Here is a 21,050-nt window from a genome sequence, read left to right as displayed (position 1 = left end):
CTCGACTCACTGCAACCTCCACCTCCCAGGTTCAAGTGATTCTCCTGCCTCAGCCTCCCAAGTAGCTGGGATTACAGGCATGCACCACCATGCCTGGGTAATTTTTGTATTTTTAGTAGAGAGGGGTTTCACTATGTTGGCCAGGCTGGTCTTGAACTCCTGACCTCATGATCCGCCCGCCTTAGCCTCCCAAAGTGCTGGGATTACAGGCTACAGGCATGAGCCACCGCGCCCAGCTGGTTTTTCTTGTTTGTTTGTTTATTTGTTTGTTTTTGAGATGGAGTTTTGCTCTTGTTGCCCAGACTGGAGTGCAATGGCGTGATTTCAGCTCACTGCAACCTCCGCCTCCCAGGTTCAAGCGATTCTCCTGCCTCAGTCTTCCGAGTAGCTGGGATTACAGGCTCCTGCCACCATACCCGGCTAATTTTTTTGTATTTTTAGTGGACATGGGGTTTCATCATGTTGGCCAGGCTGGTCTTGAACTCCTGACCTCAGGTGATCCATCTGCCTCAGCCTCCCAAAGTGCTGGAATTGCAGGCATGAGCCACTGCACCCAGCACAATCATTGTTCTTAATGTATGAGTAAACAAACAGAAACTTCCAGAGGTGATGTGCCTTGCCCAAGATCTGCCATTAAGTGGTAGGGCTGGAAATCAAACCCAGGCCTGGCTGAAGCCAGAACAGGAGAATTTAGCCATTCTGCTATCTGGCCTCATATGTCATTTAATGGACAAATGCTTCTTAAAGGCCTTCAACCGACATCCTGTAGAGATGGATCTGCCCCTTCTGCCCTTGACTTCCCTGTGTGCCTGAATTTTCAAGGACAGAGGCTGAATCAAGCCCAGCCGGGTTCTAGGTACACAGTAGGTATACTTCAGTGTGGCAACCTCTTGACAAAGCAGTGATGATACCTGCCCTCACCTCCACACCTCCCCTTGGGTTCTGGGCCCCCCTTTCAGCCCATTTCAGAGAACCTCAGAGCTGTGGACTAGAAAAAGAAAGTTCTACTTTGCATAATATTTGCATCTGCTTTGCATGCTGTTCACCTAACATCAAAATGTACAGAGGCCTTGGCGCTGGCACCCTATTCCCCCTCTTGGGCTCCTAAGCCCACCCACCTGCCGACCCAGACCAGGGGGTAGGGTTCTTGGGGGACCCATTTAGGCTCCACATAAGCTTGTCTACTTCCAGTGTGCTGGTGAGGGAGATGGGAAGGCTCCTGCCCTCATCTCTGCCCCTCCCTCCCCTCCATCCCTTCCTGGGGGAAGTGTGGTGGGTCAGGGCAGGAAACCTAGGCAGCACGCACACACACATGCAGAGCAGTGCGGCAGGAACTACCCCCGATCTGGGAGCCTGCCTGGGAGCCTGAGGTTGAGGAGAAGGGAAAGGAGGCATTGCTGCTACAGCTGCTACTGCTGAAGGCTGGCTCGACTGCACCTAGCAGGAGCCTCACGCCCCAGCCTCTCTTCACACAGGGCTAGGCTGCCGTCTCAGGAGCTCACCCCTACACACCCTTCTGATTGGGCTGCTTTGTCTGGGGGGAAAGAGAGGGGAGGGACAGGAAGAAATGGAGATGCCAGTAATGGGATGGTAGCAAGGACTAGAAAAGAAACTGTGGCTCTGCGATCCTGGGGGGAGAATGGGGAGAGTCTGGAAACAGCCCAGCCTCAGCCTGGAGCTTTAACCAGGTCAGAGCCGCCTAAGAGAGCCTGATATGAAAATATAGAAGGAGGGAGCTCCTGTGATTGGCTGATGAGGTGTGACCCATGTGAGTTAACAGAGGCCAATAACCTGTCTTGATTGGATCCAGCCATCATTGTTCCCAAGCCATGAGTGCCTTGGGGTCTAATTGGCCATGAGATGTCTGCAGTTGAGGACTGTGGTTAGCAGCAGCATCTTGCAGCCCACACATCCCCTGTCGCTATGTCAGATGGAGATTTCAGGCTTGGAGGCACCCAGTGGGTACCTGAGTAAGAACCAGAGACCCAGGAACTCAGAATGCTGGGTTCACCTGGGGTCCATAGATAAGGGGAGGCAACAGGATACTTACTGAGTGGCTTTGGGCCAGCCATGTGATGGGTGCTGAGGGTGGCACAGGGTGCTGACAGCCTGGCAGGGATCCTCAGACCTGAAGACAACCACTGCACAAACACTAACCTGAGAGCCCTTCCTGGAGGAGGCAGCACAGGTGTTGGGCTTCAATGGATGGGTTAGAGGGCCAGCATGGTGGCTCACACTTGCAATCCCAGTGCTTTGGGAGAGCGAGGTGGGACGATCACCTGAGGCCAGGAGTTCAAGACCAGCCTGGGCAACACAGTGAGACCCAAGGCCTGAGACCTTGTTTCTACAAATAATTTTTAAAAAACACACACAGGCCAGGCACAGTGGCTCGCACCTGTAATCCCAGCACTTTGGGAGGTCGAGACAGGAGGATCACTGGAGCCCAGGAGTTCAAGACCAGCCTGGACAACAAGGCAAAAGCCCATCTCTACAAAAAATATAAAAATTGGCTGGGCGCGATGGCTCATGCCTGTGATCCCAGAACTTTGGGAGGCTGAGGTGGGAGGATCACGAGGTCAGGAGATAGAGACCATCCTGGCTAACACGGTGAAACCTCATCTCTACTAAAAATACAAAAAATTAGCCGAGTGTGGTGGCAGGCGCCTATAGCCCCAGCCACTCGGGAGGCTGAGGCTGGAGAATGGTGTGAACCCAGGAGGCAGAGCTTGCAGTGAGCTGAGATCGCGCCACTGCACTCCAGCCTGAATGACAGAGCGAGACTCCGTCTCAAAAAAAAAAAAAAAAAAATTAGGTGGGTGTGGTGGCATGCATCTGTGGTCCCAGCTACTTGGGAGGCCGAGGTGCGAGGATGGATTGAGCCTGGAAGGTCGAGGTTGCAGTAAACCCTGATTATGCCACTGTACTCCAGCCTGGGTGACAGAGTGAGACCCTGTCTCACAAATAAATAAATAAATAAATACACACAAAGGATGGGTGGAAAAAGTGACAAGACATGACTGAAAGCACAGTGGGCAGGGACTTCTCCAGGGTGTCAAGGACCACGGCAGTAGAAGAGAAGAGAAAAGGCAGCAAGGCTGGGTTGTGAGAGGCTCTGAATGCCAGGGCCAGGAGGCAGGAGTTTGACAGGCAGGAGGGGGAATGAAAGGTAGATGCAGACTGGAGAGGGAGATGGAGATTCCCCCTGCTTGCCCCTACACTTGCATCCTTACCTCTGCCCTGGCAGGCAAAATGCCAGGCCTGCATGGAGGTCCCCAGCGCACCATCAGCTCCATCTACCATCTACACACAGCACACTGGGTCTTGTCCCCAGGCCCTGGAGCAGTTCCTCTGCTGCCCTCAGTTGAGTTCCCAGAGGAAGCTTCTACCATGGAGTGGACTCTCCTGGGCCCTGGGTCTTCTCCTTGTGTGCGTCCTCCTCACCAGCCTGAGCTCAGCTGAGTGGCCATGCTGGCAGAGACCCTCACAATCATTCCCACAGCCCTTACAGCTCTGGGGTCACACAGTCTCAGGCTTCAGTCCAGTTACGATAACTTAAAGTCACATAATCTCCTCAAACCTCAGTTTCCTCACCTCAAAATGGACATAATACCAAGTTTATTTTTTTCCTTTTTTTGAGACGGAGTCTCGCTCTGTCGCCCAGGCTGGAGTGCAGTGGCGCGATCTCGGCTCACTGCAACTTCTGATTCCCTGGTTCAAGCGATTCTCCTGCCTAAGCCTCCCGAGTAGCTGGGATTACAGGCACGCGCCACCAAGCCCAACTAATTTTTGTATTTTTAGTAGAGACGGAGTTTCACCATGTTGGCCAGGATGGTCTCGATCTCCTGACCTCGTGATCCACCTGCCTTGGCCTCCCAAAGTGCTGTGATTACAGGTGTGAGCCACTGCACCCAGCCTTTTTTTTTTTTTTTTTTTTTTGAGATGGAGTTTTGCTCTTGTTGCCCAGGCTGGAGTATGCAGTGGTGCGACCTCAGCTCCCTGCAACCTCCGCCTCCCAGTTTCAAGCAATTCTGCCTCAGCCTCCCAAGTAGCTGGGATTACAGGCGCCTGCCACCATACCCAACTAGTTTTTGTAGTTTTAGTAGAGACAGGGTTTCACAATGTTGGCCAGGCTGGTCTCGAACTCCTGACCTTGTGATCTACCTGCCTTGGCCTCTCAAAGTGCTGGGATTACAAGCGTGAGCCACTGTGCCTGGCCTGTGCCTGGCATTCTTTCAGGCACTGGGGCTTCAGCAGTAAATTGCACAGACAAGGTCCCTGTTCTCATTGGTTTCCATTCTAGAGGGGGAAAATGAATGTAAAAATGAAGTCGTTTCACATTATGGCAAATGCTGTGAAATTATAAATAGGATAAGGTAACAGGGGGACATAACAGAGTAACTGGAGGTGGAAGAGTGATTTTAATTGTTTTGTTTTGTTTTGTTTTGTTTTTTTGAGATGGAGTCTTGCTCTGTTGTCCAGGCTGGAGTGTAATGTCAGGATCCTGGCTCACTACAACCTCTGCCTCCCAGGTTCAAGCAATTCTCCTGCCTCTGCCTCCGGCATAGCTGGGATTACAGGCACCCGCCACAAGGACTGGCTAATTTTTGTATTTTATTAGAGACAGGGTTTTCCCATGTTGGCTAGGCTGGTCTCAAACTCCTGACCTCAAGTGATCCACCTGCCTTGGCCTCCAAAAATGCTGGGATTAAAGGTGTGAGCCACCGCACCCGGCCAAGAGAGTGATTTTGGATAAGGTGGTCAGGGACTTTGTCTCTGAGGTGTCATTTGAGCTGAGACCTGAAGAATGCAGAGCCAACCATGCTAAGAGGTAGGCAAAGGGTGTTCCACAGAGCAGAAACAGCAAGTGCAAAGATCCTGAGGCAGGAAGAGCTTGCTCTGTGGGGAGGCTGGAGTGGCTGGAGCAGAAGGAGCAGGGAGGAAAGAGGCATGGCTACTGGGGGTCCTCAAGGACCTTGGGAGAAGTCTGGCTTGAATTCCAAGGGCTGTAGAAAACCATCAGAGGTGCTGGGTGCGGTGGCTCATGCCTGTAATCCCAGCACTTTGGGAGGCTGAGGCGGGTGGATCACCTGAGGTGGGGAGTTTGAGACCAGCCTGACCAACATGGAGAAACCCTGTCTCTACTAAAAATACAAAAGTAGCTGGGCGTGGTGACGCATGCCTGTAATCCCAGCTACTCAGGAGGCTGAGGCAGGAGAATCGCTCGAACCCGGAAGGCAGAGGTTGCAGGAAGCCGGGATCAAGCCATTGCACTCCAGCCTGGGCAACAAGAGCGAAACTCCGTCTCAAAAAAAAAACAAAAAACAAACAAACAAACAAAAAAACAAAAAAAAAAAAATCAGAGGTTTTCATCAGGTGTGCTTGATTTACACGGTAATTGCTCATTAAAGGCTTGCTGTTATCACTATGAATGATAATATGAAGCCCAGAGAGGAACAGCAATGCCCAAGGTCACAAAGTTCCCATCCCACAGTCCCTTCCTCCTTTCTCCCTCCCCTAAGTAGCCATGTGGATCAGCCCCAAGCTGGTGGGTAGGAGGTGAGGGTGGCTTCCCCTCTCATTCCCTCTCCTTCCCTCCGGCCATTTCCCGTGCTCCTGGTGCCCGCGCCCCAATTAGCCGGCAAGGCTGACGGCCTCAGCTTCGAATGACAGACACCTCCTGTCACCCCCTGACGGGCAAGGAGATTAACTCAGAGCAGCGCCAGCTCGAAGGGACGACAGGAAGGGGCGGAAGGGGGAGGGGACGACCAGACCTCCCCCGACCAAGGTCCCCTAGCGCCTTGGAAGGAAGTGTGTGAGGGTGGAGGGGGTTCTTCCCCCAAGAGCCGAGTGCTGGCAGGCTGGGAAGGACCACCTCAGCCTCCTGATTGGCTGCTCCCGGTTGGGGCCACTGCCCCAACTTCCATCCTTAGCTCCTCTGAGGGCAGAGAGTATGTTTGTGAATGCTTCACAGTGGCGCCCTCGGCACTGGGGGGGGTGGACCGACAGGAAACTCAGAAAAGGAGAGACTGGTCCAAAGGTCACACCGATGGGCTAGAATTTGAGCTGAGACTACCTGACGCCAAAGCCAAGCTTCTAACCACTGTACTTTATCACCCCTCTCTGTAGGAGGGGACTCAGCTCATGCCACTCAAGAATTTACAACCTACTTTGGGGCTGTGTGATACAAGCCCCCAGAAAGGGAAATTAACACAGCAGTTGTAGGCATAGACACTGAGCACCAAGCTGGGGGTCAGAATTCCAGGTAACTCTCCAGGAGGGTGGGGCCAAAAGAGGAGGGTACCGCATGGAAGCCAGCGCCCTGGAGGAGAGTAGCTGGGCCTCAAAACACAGGCATGGCTGGTCAGGAGAGGGCAAGAGGAAGGCTCTCCGATTCCAGGCAGAGGAGAAGTGCATGGACAAAGGCTTGAAGGTGAAATGGGCAAGGCATGCACTATCTGGTCAGACCTTCAGGCTGCAAATGACAAAAAGCCAACACACACTGGCTTAAGCAAAATTGGACCCTACTGGCTCGTTCTAAGGCTCAAGTAGAAGAGTGTTTGGCTTCAAGTTTAAAAGGGTCAGTATCCCTTTGCTGGCTTCATTCATGGGTAGCTCTCCTCAAAAGGTAGGTGGCCCCAGATTCCCACACTACCAGATCAGAGAACCCCTACTTCTTCCCAGTAATTTTTTTTTTTTTTGAGACGGAGTCTCGCTCTGTCTCCCAGGCTGGAGTGCAGTGGCACAATCTCGGCTCACTGCAACCTCCACCCCTCCAAGTTTAAGCAATTCTCTGCCTTAGCCTCCGGAGTAGCTGGGATTACAGGCGCAGGCCACCACGCCCGGCTAATTTTTTGTATTTTTAGTAGAGACGGGGTTTCACCATGTTGGCCAGGCTGGTCTTGAACTCCTGACCTCGTGATCCACCCGCCTTGGCCTCCCAAAGTGCTGGGATTACAGGCGAGAACCACCGCGCCCGGCCTCTTCCCAGTATTTCTAACCAAACCTTGGGATTCAGCCTGATTGGTCAGGCCCAAGTCACATGTCCATCTCTGAACCAATCACTGTGGTCAGGGAGGATGAGTTAGCTGCTTGGCTTAGTCCCTCAGCACCAGGGGTAGGTAGAGTCCCTCTAGAGCCTTAAGGCTGGTGGCAGAGGTGAAAGGTAGTCCTTCCAGAGGAGGGTGGGCACTGGGGGCCTGTCAACACCAGGGTGCCCTAGTCCCAGGGCTGGATTCTAGACCCTGGATGACCCCTCCATGGGCAGCCTAAGGACCCCCACTTTCTCCCCAATGCTAAGAGTTCCACCTGTGTAGATGACAAACAGCAGCCCAGCTCTGGCTAGGTGAGAGGGGCCTTCAGGAAGCTTCCTGATCTAGGACAGGAGAGGTCTTGGGAGTTTTCCCTGCCAGGCCTGCTCTGGTGCCTTGGATGTCTCCATGGGCCCATCTCGTCTCTCCACCCATCCTTCACTTTTAGCTCAGATATGAGCTTCCTCCTAGAGTTTGTTTCGTTATCAGAGTCTTTACTTGCCTTTTACAAAGTTACCCACTCTGGCTAGAGCCCAGGAAGGGCAGTCTTGGAATAGGAAAGACTACGGCCAGGTGCCAGGAAGGACTGCCACAGGGAGAGCCTTCCACCCTATAGCCAGGAATGGGTATGGCTCTCAGTCTTATGAAGCAGTCAGCAGCCAGGCCAGCCTCCAGGTTAGGGTGAGCACTGCAGCAGCCCATCCTGGAGCCAATGACCCTGGAAATAATGAGTTGTGTTCACTTGCCAGAAGCAGGAGGCACCAGTCTTCTGGCAGCCATGCTCATGTGTTTGCAGCATGGACTTGGAAGTCATACTGACAGAGACTTGAATTCTAGGTTGGCTGAGTGATGTTGGACTTGCCCCTCTAGCCTTTGGTCTTCTCATCAGGAAAATGAGGATAATGCAAGGAAGGCCTGACCTCAAGGGGTAGCAAAGTTCCAAAGAGATATTGCACACCAGGTGTTGGCACCACTCTTGGCACAGAGATTCTTCCATGAAGGGGCAACTGTTAACTACTAGTATTCTTCTAGCTTTGACTGGCCCTTAGCCTAGAGCTCAAGGCAGCCTTTTCTGGACCTCAGTTTCTCCATTTGGACTTCCAGCCCTCTCACTCCCAGAGTGGGTGACTTGCATGATCTCAATGAGGGGAGGACCCCTCCCACATCGGTCAGTCCGTGGGGGCGTGGGGGGGGTGTGGGAAGGCTGTCATGCCCAACCAACATTTTCACCAGGCTGGGCGGGCAGCGCCAGGCAGGCGGGAGCTGGTCAGGTTTTTAATTGAACACGATGCAAATGAAATGTAAATACCATGCAAATAAGCTCTTGCCAGGAGGCGCTGAGCTGGGAGCAGAGGGAGCAGGGAGGGGACTGCTGAGTAGGGCTCCTCCCCGGCCTCCACTTTTCTCTCTCCTGTGGCTGCCCACGCCCACCCCCTGGTGCTGCCCACCCAGCTAAGCCATTCCATTTGGGGAACAGCAGGCGCTTCACCTCCCGAGTCTCCTCCCAGATGCCTGTGGCTCCTGGTGATGGTGGGGTGCTTGAGGAGGCAGGGACCCCATAGATGGGGCCAGGCTGACACAAACACAGTCACACAGAAAGACCCACATGTAGACATAGAAGGAACAAACAGATACAGACGCAGAAATGCACATTCCCTGTCAAGCCCCCTGCAACACTGAGAGACCCCTCAGAGACAGCCAGTCACACATAAATATACACGATTGTACATTCAGTCATAAATACACACAGCGGCACAAATAGACCCAGCCGCAGAGGCACACGTGTGTACACACACACACACACACACACACACACACACACACACACAAACTGCCTGCCCTGCCATAAGGACTTCAGACTGAGGTCCTTGTGCCGGCTGAAGGTCAGAGAGTGGGACTTTGGGGAGTGGGGGAACAGGCACCCTGTGTGGTCAGAGCCTCGTGGCCTGAGCAAAGCCAGGCAGGCAGAAGGGTGGGGAAATCTTCAGGGTGGCCTGGGCCCTTTGCCCACCCCCATCCCAAGACCCATGACCACACCCCAGGGCTCACGGCCACTAGAGACCCCAGGTGTTGGTCCATCCCCTAAGTCCTCAGGGTCCACTGGGCCTATCCCGGGATTTAGAGTCTCCTGTGGTCCCACAGCACCCGCTCCTGAGGCAGCCAGCCATTTAAGTGAGGCTGGTCCAGGGTGACAGAGCCTGGTCAGCAAGGTCAGAACTCATGCCCCACCCTGCCAAGGGTAGGGGGTGACACACAGGGGAGTAGGAAAAAGCCTGAGCGTCTGGACCCACATCTGGGGGTGGTCCCAGCCCCCTCCTAGAGGTGACTCACGTCCTACATTTAACTCTCATTAGCGCCTCTGAGCCCAGCTGGGAGGGACAGCGGCCAACCTCTCCCAGCACAGGGAGCTCTGGGTGGGCCGCCCTCTCAGCAGCCTCAGTTTCCCCCCTCTCCAGGACCTGGCCTGGGGACAGGGGCTGCGTGGGAGAGCGGCGCTCCTAGTTCCCTTCGCCTTAGCAAGGGCTGGCCTCCATCCCACGGAGGGAGGGACTGGGTGTGGCCTCTTCCAGGAACCACCCCAGCAGGCCCCCGCCGGATGCAGCGGCAGCGGCACAGTCCCCCCACTCCCCACTCCGCCCCCCACCAGCCAGGCCCAGAGGTCGGGAAGGAGGGGAGGGCCAGAAGGCGTAGGATCGGAGGCGGCCGGACTTGCTGCTGCTCCGCCGCTTGTCCCTATCCGGCCGCGGCCCTCCGACAGCCGCAGCGCGAGGGAAAGCCTGACCCAGGGCGGGGGTGGGTGAATGGGGGCCAGGGAAGGAGAGACGTGGCCAAAGACCCAAGGCGGTTCCCGGCCTCCTTCCTTCTCCGCTTCACAAGCGCGGCCCTGCTCTCACTGTGACTGCAGCTGCCCTGTGAGTCGCTCATCGCGTGCCGACACCGTGGGCGCAGGCCCCAGGGAGGCCACGCTAGAGACCCCCACCCCGCCCCAGGAGGGGCCGGTTCCGCCAGCCTCCACCACACTCCCTCCCCCTTCCCTGCTCTGTGGGAAGGAGGCAGCTGGGGCGGGGGTGGCCGCGGGAGCGTCTTGCCCGTGTGATCGTGCCGAGCGGGGAATTCGGGGCCATGTGGGAAAGACATTAGTGCCGGCCGCCCTGCCAGCCAGGAATGCGCCCCCCGCTCTGCAGCCGCCGCCTGCCTGGCCCAGAAACGGTGACTCACCCGCTCCGTGTTCCCACCCCCTCATCATGCACCCTCCCCTGCCCACCACAGGCCTGGCCCCAGGCTTTCCAGCCTCCCCGTTCTGCTCCTGCAGGTCCTGCTACCTGCCTTGCCCATCCTCCATTCTCTCAGTTTCTTAGAACACTGAACCAGCTCGCACCTCGGGGCAGTCCGCAGTCACAGCCCCCCGCCGCCCAAGGAGGCCCGTCTATCTCCCACAAGCTCTGGTTAGAACACTCCTTTGGGACTTAGTTCCTGGGGCTGTCTTCTCTCCAGACTGATCGCCCCCGTCCCGCTACCGGACCAGGCCAGGAGCACAGGGCAGGTGCAGAAAAAAGGAGTCAATGAAACCTCTTCAGCTCGAGAAGCAGAGCACTGTGTGGGAGTGCTGTTCCTAGGGCTCTTCCTCTAGGAACCTGAAATACAGCAAGGCCACCTACCTCAAAGGCTGTGTGACCCTGGACTCTTATTCCCCTAGCCTGAGCCTTGCTTTCCGCAGAATGGGACGACAGCACCATGTGCTAATGGTGACAGATATCTGTAAAGCCCTCGGCTCAGGGCCAGCTGCTGGAAGGGACTCAGTCATGATGACGGTGTTGATGATATCCCTGGCAATCAAGGCTATTTAATGAACACCTACTATGTACCGGGCCCTAGGTTGGGTACTTTCTTTTTTTGTTGTTTTTTTGTTGAGACTGAGTCTCACTCTTGTTATCCAGGCTGGAGTGCAATGATGCAATCTCGGCTCACTGCAACCTCTGCCTCCCGGATTCAAGCGATTCTCCTGTCTCGGCCTCCTGAGTAGCTGGGATTACAGGCCCATGCTACCACACCCGGATAATTTTTGTGTTTTTAGTAGAGATGGGGTTTCACCATGTTGGCCAGGCTGGTCTTGAACTCCTGACCTAAGATGATCTACTAGGCTGGGTACTTTCTGCATATCATCTCATCTAGTCTCTGCCTCAGTCCTATGAGGTAGGTTCTGTTACTATCCTTCCTGTACAGATAAGGAAATACTGAGGTTTGGCAAGGGGAAGACACTGACCCAGGCACCCACAAGAGACAACAGGGCTGTGGCCCCAGCACACCCAGAGCTCTCCAGCGCCCATACCAGAGCATCCTCTAGGTCTGCCTCTTCTAAAGATCACACTGGGCTCCAGTAGGCAGGCCCTTGCTGCCCCCACCCTCATTGGAACCCTGCAACCAGCCTCCACCCAGGGCCACCTCTCATAACTTTTAATAAGAGGTAATAGCACCAAGCAGCGGGCATCAGCTTCGTTTTTAATTATCTAATTTACATTTAATTTTCCCCAACAACGTGATGCAGTTTATTAATGTTTTACCTAAGAGCATCCATTCATGGACTGAAAACACATTCACAAAACTAATGGACATTGCTTCTGTTTTGGAGGCCCCTAGTTCAAAGTAGGGGATCCCAGCTGGGGTTATAGGCCCTGAGACCCAGCAACCAACACAACTCCCTGCACTGCACTAATTAATAAACAAATGCCCAATTGTGGTGGCTCATGCCTATAATCCCAGCACTTAGGGAGGCAGAGGCAGAACAAACACTTGAGCCCAGGAGTTCGAGACCAGCCTGGGCATCATAGCAAGACCCCATATCTACAGAAATTAAAAAAATTGGCTGGGCATGGTGGCACGTGCCTGTAGTCCCAGCTACTCAGGAGGCTGAGGTGGGAGGATTGCTTGAGCCTGAGAGTGAGCTGCAGTGAGCATGCTATTTGCACTCCAGCCTGCTCAAGACCCTGCCTCTGAAAAAAAAACCAACCAACCACATGTCCCAGAATTCTTTTGGAGCATGCCCCTTCCCTGCTAGCCTCCAGAAAGAATTATTACTCTGCCAGACACTTTATGGGACTATCTCATTTAATCCTTGTCCCAACCTTTACCAACAGGTAAGGTATAAACACCTGTTTTACAGATGGAAAAACTGAGAACCAGGAGAATGAAGTGTCTTGCCCAGGGTCACACATGACAGCTGAAGGGAAGAGCTGGCATTGCAAAATTAGGGTGTGGGGCACAAAGTCCACTGTCTGCACTGCAGTATTGGTTGGCCCCCCTCAGAAAATCCAGACTCTGGTCCTGCAGATACTGGCTTCAAACTGTGAGGCCTCGGGTCTGTGGGAGAAGTATGTCTTGTTGTTCTCAAGATGTCAGTGGAATTGGGTGACAGGGCTAGTGGGGAGAAGTGTAGGAACTCAGTGACTCAGATCCCACAGCAGTGGATCTCTCAGGCATCCCAGAGGCCAGGGTCTGGCTTTCCAGGCTTCTCAGTGCCCAGTGGCTGTGATTTCTATAATGGATTTTCCCTGGTTCCTCCTGGAGGGTCCCAGAAATGGCAAGGGGCTCCCATCTTTCTCCCATTGGCCCCTAGATGAAACTGGGCCTCCTCTAAATCAGAAATAATGAGCAGACAAGATGATTCTAATTTCCAGGAAAGAAGAGAGAATATGAAACCCAAAATAAAATCCTGAGCCTAGAACTGGTGGAAAGAAGACTCAGGCCCAGGACAAATGGACGGTGTGTTTAATCATCTTGACCTTATCTCCAACCCGGCAGTGTAAACCCTCAACCCAGCCCCGGCCAGGCTGGGCAGGCAGGTAACATGGACACTCACCCCAGCCTTGGTCAAGCCCAGGTAGATGAACAATATGGGTCTCACACAGAGCCAGGCCTTGGCCAAATGAACAGTGTGGATACTCATCTGTATCTCAACCACACCCATCCTGGATGGTCAGTGTGGACCCTCACCCTGGCCTTGGCCAAGCACCTGGCAGACAGGTATTGTCAACACTCACCTCAAGCTTCACCCAGACCCTGGGCAGAGGGCAGTACGGCCTCCCCACCCCATTCCCAGTCATGCACACAGAACCGGGAACTTCTCTGAGATTTGAAGCCACTAACCTCCTGCCCTACTGTGGGGCACAGATCTATTTTTCAACAAATGCCTGGAGGTCTCAGTAGCTCAGTTGGCCACTGCAGGGCAGGAGAGGGCCACCTGGAGCTCAAAGGCCTGGAGTAGCATCCCTTGAGCCACCATCTCTGGCCTCAGTGTACTCATCTAGGAAAAGCAGATTCTGACTCAATACATACTTCAGGGAGCTGTCAGGACTGCTCCAGTAATTAAATGAGATGGGGCAGCTAAGGCCCTGACCCTCTACTCCATTCCTGAGCCTCCCCTCTTCCATGTAGCTCCCTTAGTACACAAAAAAAGGGGAAACCAGGCCCAGAGAAGCCAGAGGACTACCCCACAATCACATGGCAAATTGGGGTCAGAGGTGGAAGTTGACCCCAGATCTGGGTCTCACACAGGGCCAGGACTTTGGGAATCTCCATGGACCACGGCACAGTATGGTTAAGTAGCACCTTGGTATCTGGTCCAGGCTGGGCTTGGTGTGTGTATGTGTGTGTGTCTATTACTGGGAGTGGGGCGGCAGTGGACAGGGTGTTGGGGGAGCTGCTGCTGCTGCCTCCCTAGTATTTTTAGTCTCGAGAATGAGCTGAGCTCAGGGCTCTGAGCTCCCATCGACAGTGAGGGAAATGGGAAGGTCCCCACCACCCCTCCCTCCCACCAGCAGCCTGGAGCCGGGTTGGGTGGGGGTGGGTCTGAAAAGGAGCAGGCACCCCAATGACTGGGGGCAGTCAGGCCCTGACCCCCTGCACCCCTGCCCACACCCATCCAGGCCGTCCTTTCAATGCCCCATTCCCTTGGGAGTGTGTCAGCACCCAGCTAAGCTGGCAGGGACAGGTGCCCCCATCTGCCCCCTGCTAACCTCAGCTTCCCTTGCTAGGAGCTCCAGGCCAGCTCTCGCCTGCATCAGGTCAGCGCTGCAAGGTTCCCATGACAACGGATGACAGCAGCAGAGGCTACTGGCCGCAGGGTCAGGGGTGAGGGGAGTATGGGTGGAAGAGCAGGAGAAGGGAAGGGGCCCAGCATGTGGGTGGGGGAGGGGCTAGAGTGAAGGACCCCCAAATTGCAGCTCCCTCCTGAGTCTTGGACCCCCAGAAAAGGTCTAGAACCGTGGCTGATTGATACTGGAAGGTCCATTGCACTAATTGGGAAAGCTAGGCTCAGGAAGGGCTGGCTATGCCTTTGGTCATGTGATCATGAATCCAGCTATGGGTAGGGCTTGGATGGAAATCCTATCCCCCTGCCTCCCAGCCCAGGACTCTGCTGCTTCTAGGCTAGGCATGAGGCCAGATGTCCCCTTATCCCCACCTCCAGGAAGGGTGTGGGTCCCGAAGCTCTCTGACCGGCCTGGCCATTCTGTGACTTGGATTCCCCATCCTGTAATGAGTATTCAAGGCCCCCACACTAACAGATTACTTGTGATCAAGCCTAGCCCCTCACTTTATTTTTGAGACAGAGTCTTGCTCTGTCGCCCAGGCTGGAGTGCAGTGGCATGATCTCGGCTCACTGCAACCTCCATCTCCTGGGTTCAAGAGATTCTCTTGCCTCAGACTCCTGAGTAGCTGGGATTACAGGCGTGCACTAGCACGCCTGGCTAAGTTTTGTATTTTCAGTAGAGATGGGGTTTCATCATGTTGGCCGGCTGGTCAAGAACTCTTGACATCAGGTGATCTGCCCACCTTGGCCTCCCAAAGTGCTGGGATACATGCATGAGCCACCGTGCCCGGCCCAGCCCTCCACTTTTTAACATGGGATATGTTTTGGTTCCTCTGGAAGGAGATATGTCAGGAATCAGCCTCCAGCTGACTTCCTACCTCAGTCTCAGGGCCCCAGAGTGGGGTTGGGAAGTTGCCCCACATACCCAGATTGACTAAAGGCTTCACTCCAGATACATGTTAGCCCCTCCAAAGCCTAAAGGCCAAAGGTTCCAGAACCATCATTGGCTCCCACTGTCCCCAAGACAAAATATACCCATTTGCCTTGGATCTTGAGATTGGCCCATCGTTCCCTGGGCTCTCTCCAGTGTGGTCTCCTCACTGCCCCAGAAGTACCAGTCTCCAAGCCTCCTAGATAGGCAGCATGGTACTTCGAGGCTCAGCTTCACTCACCTCCTCCAAGAAGCCTTCTTGGCTCTTCCCATGCATTCAAATCTCTTGCCTACCAAGGGGTACAAGGCTAGAGAGCTCACAGGGACCTCACACAGGATTTCTCATTCCACCTTCATAGGATATCTGAAAAGCAATGTTACTTGCTGATGAGTAAACTAAGGCCCAGAAAGGAAAGCCTTTGTAGGTCACATAGCCTGTGAATGTCCACTTGGTGCCTGGCTCCAGAACCCCTTTTCTCTTGGAACTTCTTGGGGCCTCCTCTTGGCACTCGCCAGCCTGTGGCCCTGCAGCTGGGCTCCCCAAGCTCAGACCTAACAGTTCTTTCCCCAGCCCCTCATATACAACAGGCCAACCCATGTCCTCCTCCAATTCATCCATTGATTCAACATTATTGAGCATTTGGCATTTGCCAGGCAGACAAGCCCCTCCCTCCAGGAGTGCTCCTTCTAGTTCAGAAGATCAGCAAGTGAACAGGTGAGTTCACCCAGTGTGACCCCAGCAGGATTGTGATGGGAGCACTTAGGGCAGTGGGTGCGTAGAAGAGGGTACTCCAGCTCTCACTTACAGAGTCAAGGCCAACTCTGACCTTAGAAGTCTTCTGTGCAAAACAGCTCAGCCTCTCTTAGGTCCCACCTGCCTGGGGAACCTTATTCTCATGTCTAAGCTCAATTCCACTTGCTGCAACCCCTCAAAGACTTTCTAAGTGAGTGACTGGCTGACAAAGGCCAGTTCCCAGGTACTGACCCCAGTGCTTTATCACCCAGTAGCCTCATCTGTATCTGCCCACTCACTCTGTATCTCTCTCCACCATCTCCACAAGCCCCCCAGGACAGTTCAAGAGGGCTGGCTGGATAGCAGGTCCAGAGCCATCGGATCCATCACACATCTCTTTGAGTCCCCCAAATAAATACAGCAGGTCCAGGGACCTCTTTCAGTGGCCCCCACCTCTAGCTCTATGTTAGGGAACTGGCAGTCTCGGGGAGCCATGGGAGCGGGGCCAGTGGGGACAGCAAGAAGTAGGCAGGGAGGCAAGGGTCAGAGCCTCCCCCATTGCAGGGCTGCTGAGCCAGGCCAGAAACTGGGGGAGGGAATGAGACCACGGGATTGCTGCTCGGTCCTTAGGGTCCCTGAGGGCCAGCAAAATGGAAGAGAAGGAAACTCAGCTCCCAGAATCCTCCCACGAGTTGGACTGGGGGCCATGAGGGCTGCGGGAGGCAGAGCAGACTCCTGACATTCGACCCAGCACCCCTCCTCGAGGTGGGGGCCCGGAGCTCTGGGCGCCCTCGTGATGAGGCCGGCTGCAGGGTGATTAATCTTGCCAGGCCTGTGCGTCAGACCCCCCACCCCCAAGCCTCCCATGGCCAACCCCGCCCGCGCTGCCCTGGGAGTTAATCTCCGCTCTGGGGGACTTCTCAGCCGCTGTCACTGCTGCATTAATTCTGAGGCAGAGGGAGGCAGGAAGGAGGGAACACAGTTGGGGCGTGGTGGATAGCTTCCTTGGGAGGGTTTTGTGATTAAGTGGCTGGTGAGGAGGGGTCCCAAAGGATGGGGCCTGGGTCCCCTTCAAGGCCCAGCCCTGGATGAGGGGTGGGGTCATCCCTATTTTTTCCCCCAGGCCATCAGAGCCCTTATATCCCTGGCCTCTAGCCCTCATCGTTCACCAGCTGAGCCCCAAATGCAGTTTGCAGTTTTGACAGCAGATGTCTCTGCTATTATGATTTATCAAAATGCTTAAGGTAAATAATGCACACATATTTATAGGAAAGGAGTAGGTGGTAGAAGGGGAGGGATTGACCAGGCTAAGGGGGCTTTGGGGCCTGAGAACTCAGAAGGCCCCTGCCACTGTCCTCAGCCCTCCCTACTCAGACCCAGGGTTGACCCCAGCCTGGCCCTGGGGAGATGGCTGGGTGACACCAAGCTAGCCCAGTCAGCAGCCCAGACCTGGCCCCCAGGAGGGCAGGGAGCGAGGCAGCCAGTGGCAGGACCTGTCTCGCGGGGCCCCGCCAGGCCTGGGAGGTGGCCACCTGGGGGAAGCGGCTGAGCCAGCCTCACACCTCAGCCGTGTTTCCATGGCTTCACTGCGTCCTCGCTCCTGAGGCTTCCGTCGCCTTATCAACGGCAGCGGCCACTGCTCGCCCTCACCCTTGCAGCCGCTCCCCAAGACTCCCAGCAGCTGCCTGTGGACCCACTGCTGCAGAGCCAAAACAGCCACAGGGGGTGCCCCTCCCGGGCAGGCCTCAAAGCTGGAAGAGGGGCTGGGAGCCTGGTGGGAAGACACCAGGGGGAGCGGTGGGCAGGAGCCTTTGTGGATTCAGGCTGTACCCACTTCGGGCCCCCGAAATACCCACGCCCTGTCATTGCAGGGGAGGGGGCGGTGATCCTAGGTTACCCCCTAATCCCCTATCCTCGCTCCATACTGTGCCCTTTGTTTCCAGACCTTTCTGGGCTTGAGAACATTTGGTTAAATAACTTAAATAAATGTATTAATAAATTCGGTATTCCAATTTGAATAGCAAAGGTAAAAAAAAAAAAACAAAAAACAAAAAGAAGTGCAGACAAGTTTAAGGAAGTAAGTAATACTCAACCCTAATCCCACATCTGGGCACGATCACAGGCAGCTTGTGGGATGGGGGAGGGGGTCCTTCCAGCCAAAGCCTGCAGCATGGCCAGGTGCTTAAGGGCTAGCTTCCGAAAGCAGACGAACCTGGTTGTGTGACCTTGTATGTCTCGCTACCTCTCTGAGCCTTAACTTTCTTATCTGTCAAATGGAGAGAACCGCCTAAAGCCCCCCTCATAGGTTGCTGTGAGTGTGTCAGTGCAATGGAATGGCCCAGTCCCTGGTGCACAGGCCACAGGCTCTATGCCTTGAAGCAGAAGGATCTTGTTTAAGGTCTCTAGCCAAGGGGTATGGAGGCTCCAGGGACTGGAGAAAGGAGGCTCTTTGTAGTAAGTTTCCCTTACCTGTGGACAGCTCCCCAGTTAGGCTGGAAATGCGTGAGAGAAAAATAATGTCCAGAAAGAGGAGAGAATGTGTTTCCTCAGCCCACAGATGTTTCCTACCCCTTCCATGTGTTGGGTGCCAGCGCTGCCCTTACTGAGCTGCAGACCATAGCCCTGAGGCCAGGTGATGTCACCAAGAATGACCAGTGTTGTGATGGGCTGGGGGTGGGGGGCGGGGGGCAAGGGACACTTGACCCAGCTTGCAAGGGACAAGAAAGCTCCGAAGGCGGGAGGAAGGCATCATACAGGTGGGAGATGGCAACAGGAAACGAAGCAGCATCTGACGAAGCACTGGGAGGCTGCGGTAGGCGGCCACCTGGACCCCTCAGCTGTGCCCCGAGAGTCCAGCCGCTTTGCACCCAGGCCTGGAGCCCTGGAGGACCCGGCTCACCTCCTCTGGGCCCGCCCTATCTTCACACCCTGCTGCTTGGAATCTGAGGCAGCCCTTGTTCTCCGGCAGGAGGGGAATTTAATGCCACTGAGAGATGGCAGGTCGACAGGCAGAAAGAGATGAAAGTGTCTGCACTGGCAGCCTGGCCGGCAGCCTCAGGGGACCCTCCTGCACCTCCACCACCCTCTCCAGCCATTCTCTACTCCTGCATGGCAGGAACAGCCCTCAAGGGAGATGTGGGCCTCTGGGGACAGGACTCCCTGCAGGGCTGTGTGACCCTAGGGGACAGCTGGGCCTCTCTGTGCCATGCCTGCAGGATGTTAGGGCCAAGGTCTGGGTTATTACCATGCTGGTGGCTGCCTGTCCCTCCCCTAACCCTGGCTGACTGTCTTCAGCAGTGGCTGGTCAGCCCAGGGCTGCGGGTGGGCGGGGGGGGGGCTTGGGGCCAGGCTGTGCAGTGACCTCCATCCATCCATCTCTGGCACCTGGGAGGCGGTGGGAGCCTGTGCTGCAATCAAGTCAGACCCAAGTGGCCTTGACTACAGCCGAGCCATGTAGCCATCGCTGCCTCCTTTTTTGTGGCAGTACAAAGCTGGGCTGAGCCTGGGAATGGTGGCTGGGGCCCCGAGCCAGAATCTGTGCCTGTTGGAGATGGCGTGGGTCTTGGCACTACTAACTGTGAGGTGACCTTTGGCTCTGCAAAGCACCCTGTCAAGCTCACCACCCCACAACCCCTGGCTATGTTGTCCTTCTTTCTTGGAACACAGAGAGGTAAGGGCACCTGGCCAAGGTCATCTAGCAAGGACACACACATACACACACACACGGCTTTGACACATGGTGACCAAGAAATAAGCAGGGACCCATGTGTCCAGACTCCCAGGCCCCCTTTCCATTCTTTTGGAGGTACCTGATTTTTCTCTCAAGGTAGCCAGGAGCCTGGGTTCTAATCAGGTCCCTGCTACCATCTTGCTCTTGCTATAGGGGAAGTCACATACCCTCTCTAGGCTTCAGTTTCTTACCAATAAAATGGGTAATAATTTCTGTCCTGATGACTTTTGGGGGCCAAAGAAGTAAACTTACTGGACAAACTGAAACCAACCCTGGGCCTCCAACCAGCCTTGGGCCAAGGGGAAGTACTCGTATAGACAGCCCAGCTCCTGGCCCACAATCACCCAGTACAGCCACAGGACCTATCCTTCTTCCTTCTTCCTGCACAGCGCAACCACAGCAAGCTCAGAGCAGAGGGTCAAAGGCCTCGTCTGGAGTCCTGAGTCAGGTCCAGGGCATGGGACAGGCGCCTCAGTCTGGGTGGGGGATAAAGGCAGCTAGAGACTAGGTCAGGCCAAGACTGGCTGCTGTCGGGGGAGGGGGCGCCTGGCAGGCGCTGGGCAGGCTGGGGTTGGGGGAGGCCTTTGGCGGCCTCAGAGAACAAAGAGGCCGGGGTTGCCAGGATATTCTGTGGAGTTGAAGCCGGTGGTGATGGGGCTGGGAGAGGGGCCGCAGCGGCCGTGGGAACTGCGCCTGCTGCCCCCACGCCAGCTCCCCCATCCAGACTGGGCCTCAGGGCCATGCGAGGGCACAGGCTGCAGGTGAGAGGGGCTGTCAGATCCCCCACTCTCTCCCTAGAGAGGCTTTCAGGGCGGAGACCCAGGAAGTGCTGGAGGCAGACACACAAGGCAATAGTGTCAGCAACACTGAGAGGATCACAGGTGCACACTGACACAAAGCCATGACCACACACCCAGGGTTATGCAGGCAGCATCACAGGGTCACACTATAGTCACACGGAGACATCACACACACACAATCCCTGGTCAGTCCCAGCCCACATCCATGATGGCCACACAGACACAAAGTCACACACTTATTGAACCACCCAGTTTTGCCACAGGGTCACGCAATGCCACGTGTGTTGTAAACCCAAAGTGACACACTCACATAGAATCACTCAATGTCACACACTCACACAGAATCACCCAAAGTCACACATTCAGTTGTACAAGCCGGTATCACACTGGGTCTGTTACAGAACTGTACAATGTCACAAGAGTACACACGCAATGTCACAGAACATTCCAAAGTGTGGCCACTGACATACACTAACCCATTCACATCTCAGTCTCCAATAAACTGTCACAAACCCATTTGCATATCACACCCGATGTCACACATAGCCACATTACTGCACAAAGCCTCACACAATTGTCAGGCCCTTAAAGCATCACTCACACACACACACACACACACACACACACACACACGTCCACGCAGGGGCTACCTGGAGGCTGGACTTCTCTCCAGCCCAGTGTGTGCACCCAGCCTCTCAAACCCCCACCGTTCTGTGTCTAGAGCTGGCTCTAAATGCCAGA

General features: G+C 55.0%; 6 annotated features.

The window, feature by feature from the left end:
- Positions 5,179-6,003: an enhancer, noted in NCBI's record as "H3K27ac-H3K4me1 hESC enhancer chr5:139080795-139081619 (GRCh37/hg19 assembly coordinates)". NCBI's record gives its function as "activates a minimal SCP1, AML or CMV promoter by ChIP-STARR-seq in naive H9 embryonic stem cells {active_cell/tissue: H9 hESC(naive)}" and the evidence as "EXISTENCE:reporter gene assay evidence [ECO:0000049][PMID:30033119]".
- Positions 6,004-6,829: an enhancer, noted in NCBI's record as "H3K27ac-H3K4me1 hESC enhancer chr5:139079969-139080794 (GRCh37/hg19 assembly coordinates)". NCBI's record gives its function as "activates a minimal SCP1, AML or CMV promoter by ChIP-STARR-seq in primed H9 embryonic stem cells {active_cell/tissue: H9 hESC(primed)}" and the evidence as "EXISTENCE:reporter gene assay evidence [ECO:0000049][PMID:30033119]".
- Positions 6,097-6,176: an enhancer, noted in NCBI's record as "active region_23251". NCBI's record gives its function as "activates an Ori minimal core promoter by ATAC-STARR-seq in GM12878 lymphoblastoid cells {active_cell/tissue: GM12878}" and the evidence as "EXISTENCE:reporter gene assay evidence [ECO:0000049][PMID:35858748]".
- Positions 8,304-9,273: an enhancer, noted in NCBI's record as "H3K27ac-H3K4me1 hESC enhancer chr5:139077525-139078494 (GRCh37/hg19 assembly coordinates)". NCBI's record gives its function as "activates a minimal SCP1, AML or CMV promoter by ChIP-STARR-seq in primed H9 embryonic stem cells {active_cell/tissue: H9 hESC(primed)}" and the evidence as "EXISTENCE:reporter gene assay evidence [ECO:0000049][PMID:30033119]".
- Positions 12,155-12,449: a silencer, noted in NCBI's record as "tiled region #3182; HepG2 Repressive DNase matched - State 8:EnhW". NCBI's record gives its function as "represses a minimal TATA promoter and a strong SV40 promoter by Sharpr-MPRA in HepG2 cells {active_cell/tissue: HepG2}" and the evidence as "EXISTENCE:reporter gene assay evidence [ECO:0000049][PMID:27701403]".
- Positions 17,231-17,340: a silencer, noted in NCBI's record as "silent region_16425". NCBI's record gives its function as "represses an Ori minimal core promoter by ATAC-STARR-seq in GM12878 lymphoblastoid cells {active_cell/tissue: GM12878}" and the evidence as "EXISTENCE:reporter gene assay evidence [ECO:0000049][PMID:35858748]".

This window comes from Homo sapiens, chromosome 5 (genome assembly GCF_000001405.40).
Source record: "Homo sapiens chromosome 5, GRCh38.p14 Primary Assembly".
NCBI classification, from domain to species: domain Eukaryota; kingdom Metazoa; phylum Chordata; class Mammalia; order Primates; family Hominidae; genus Homo; species Homo sapiens.
The sequence above is the reverse complement of the archived record's forward strand: the minus strand, read 5'-3'. Positions and strand labels throughout refer to the sequence as shown.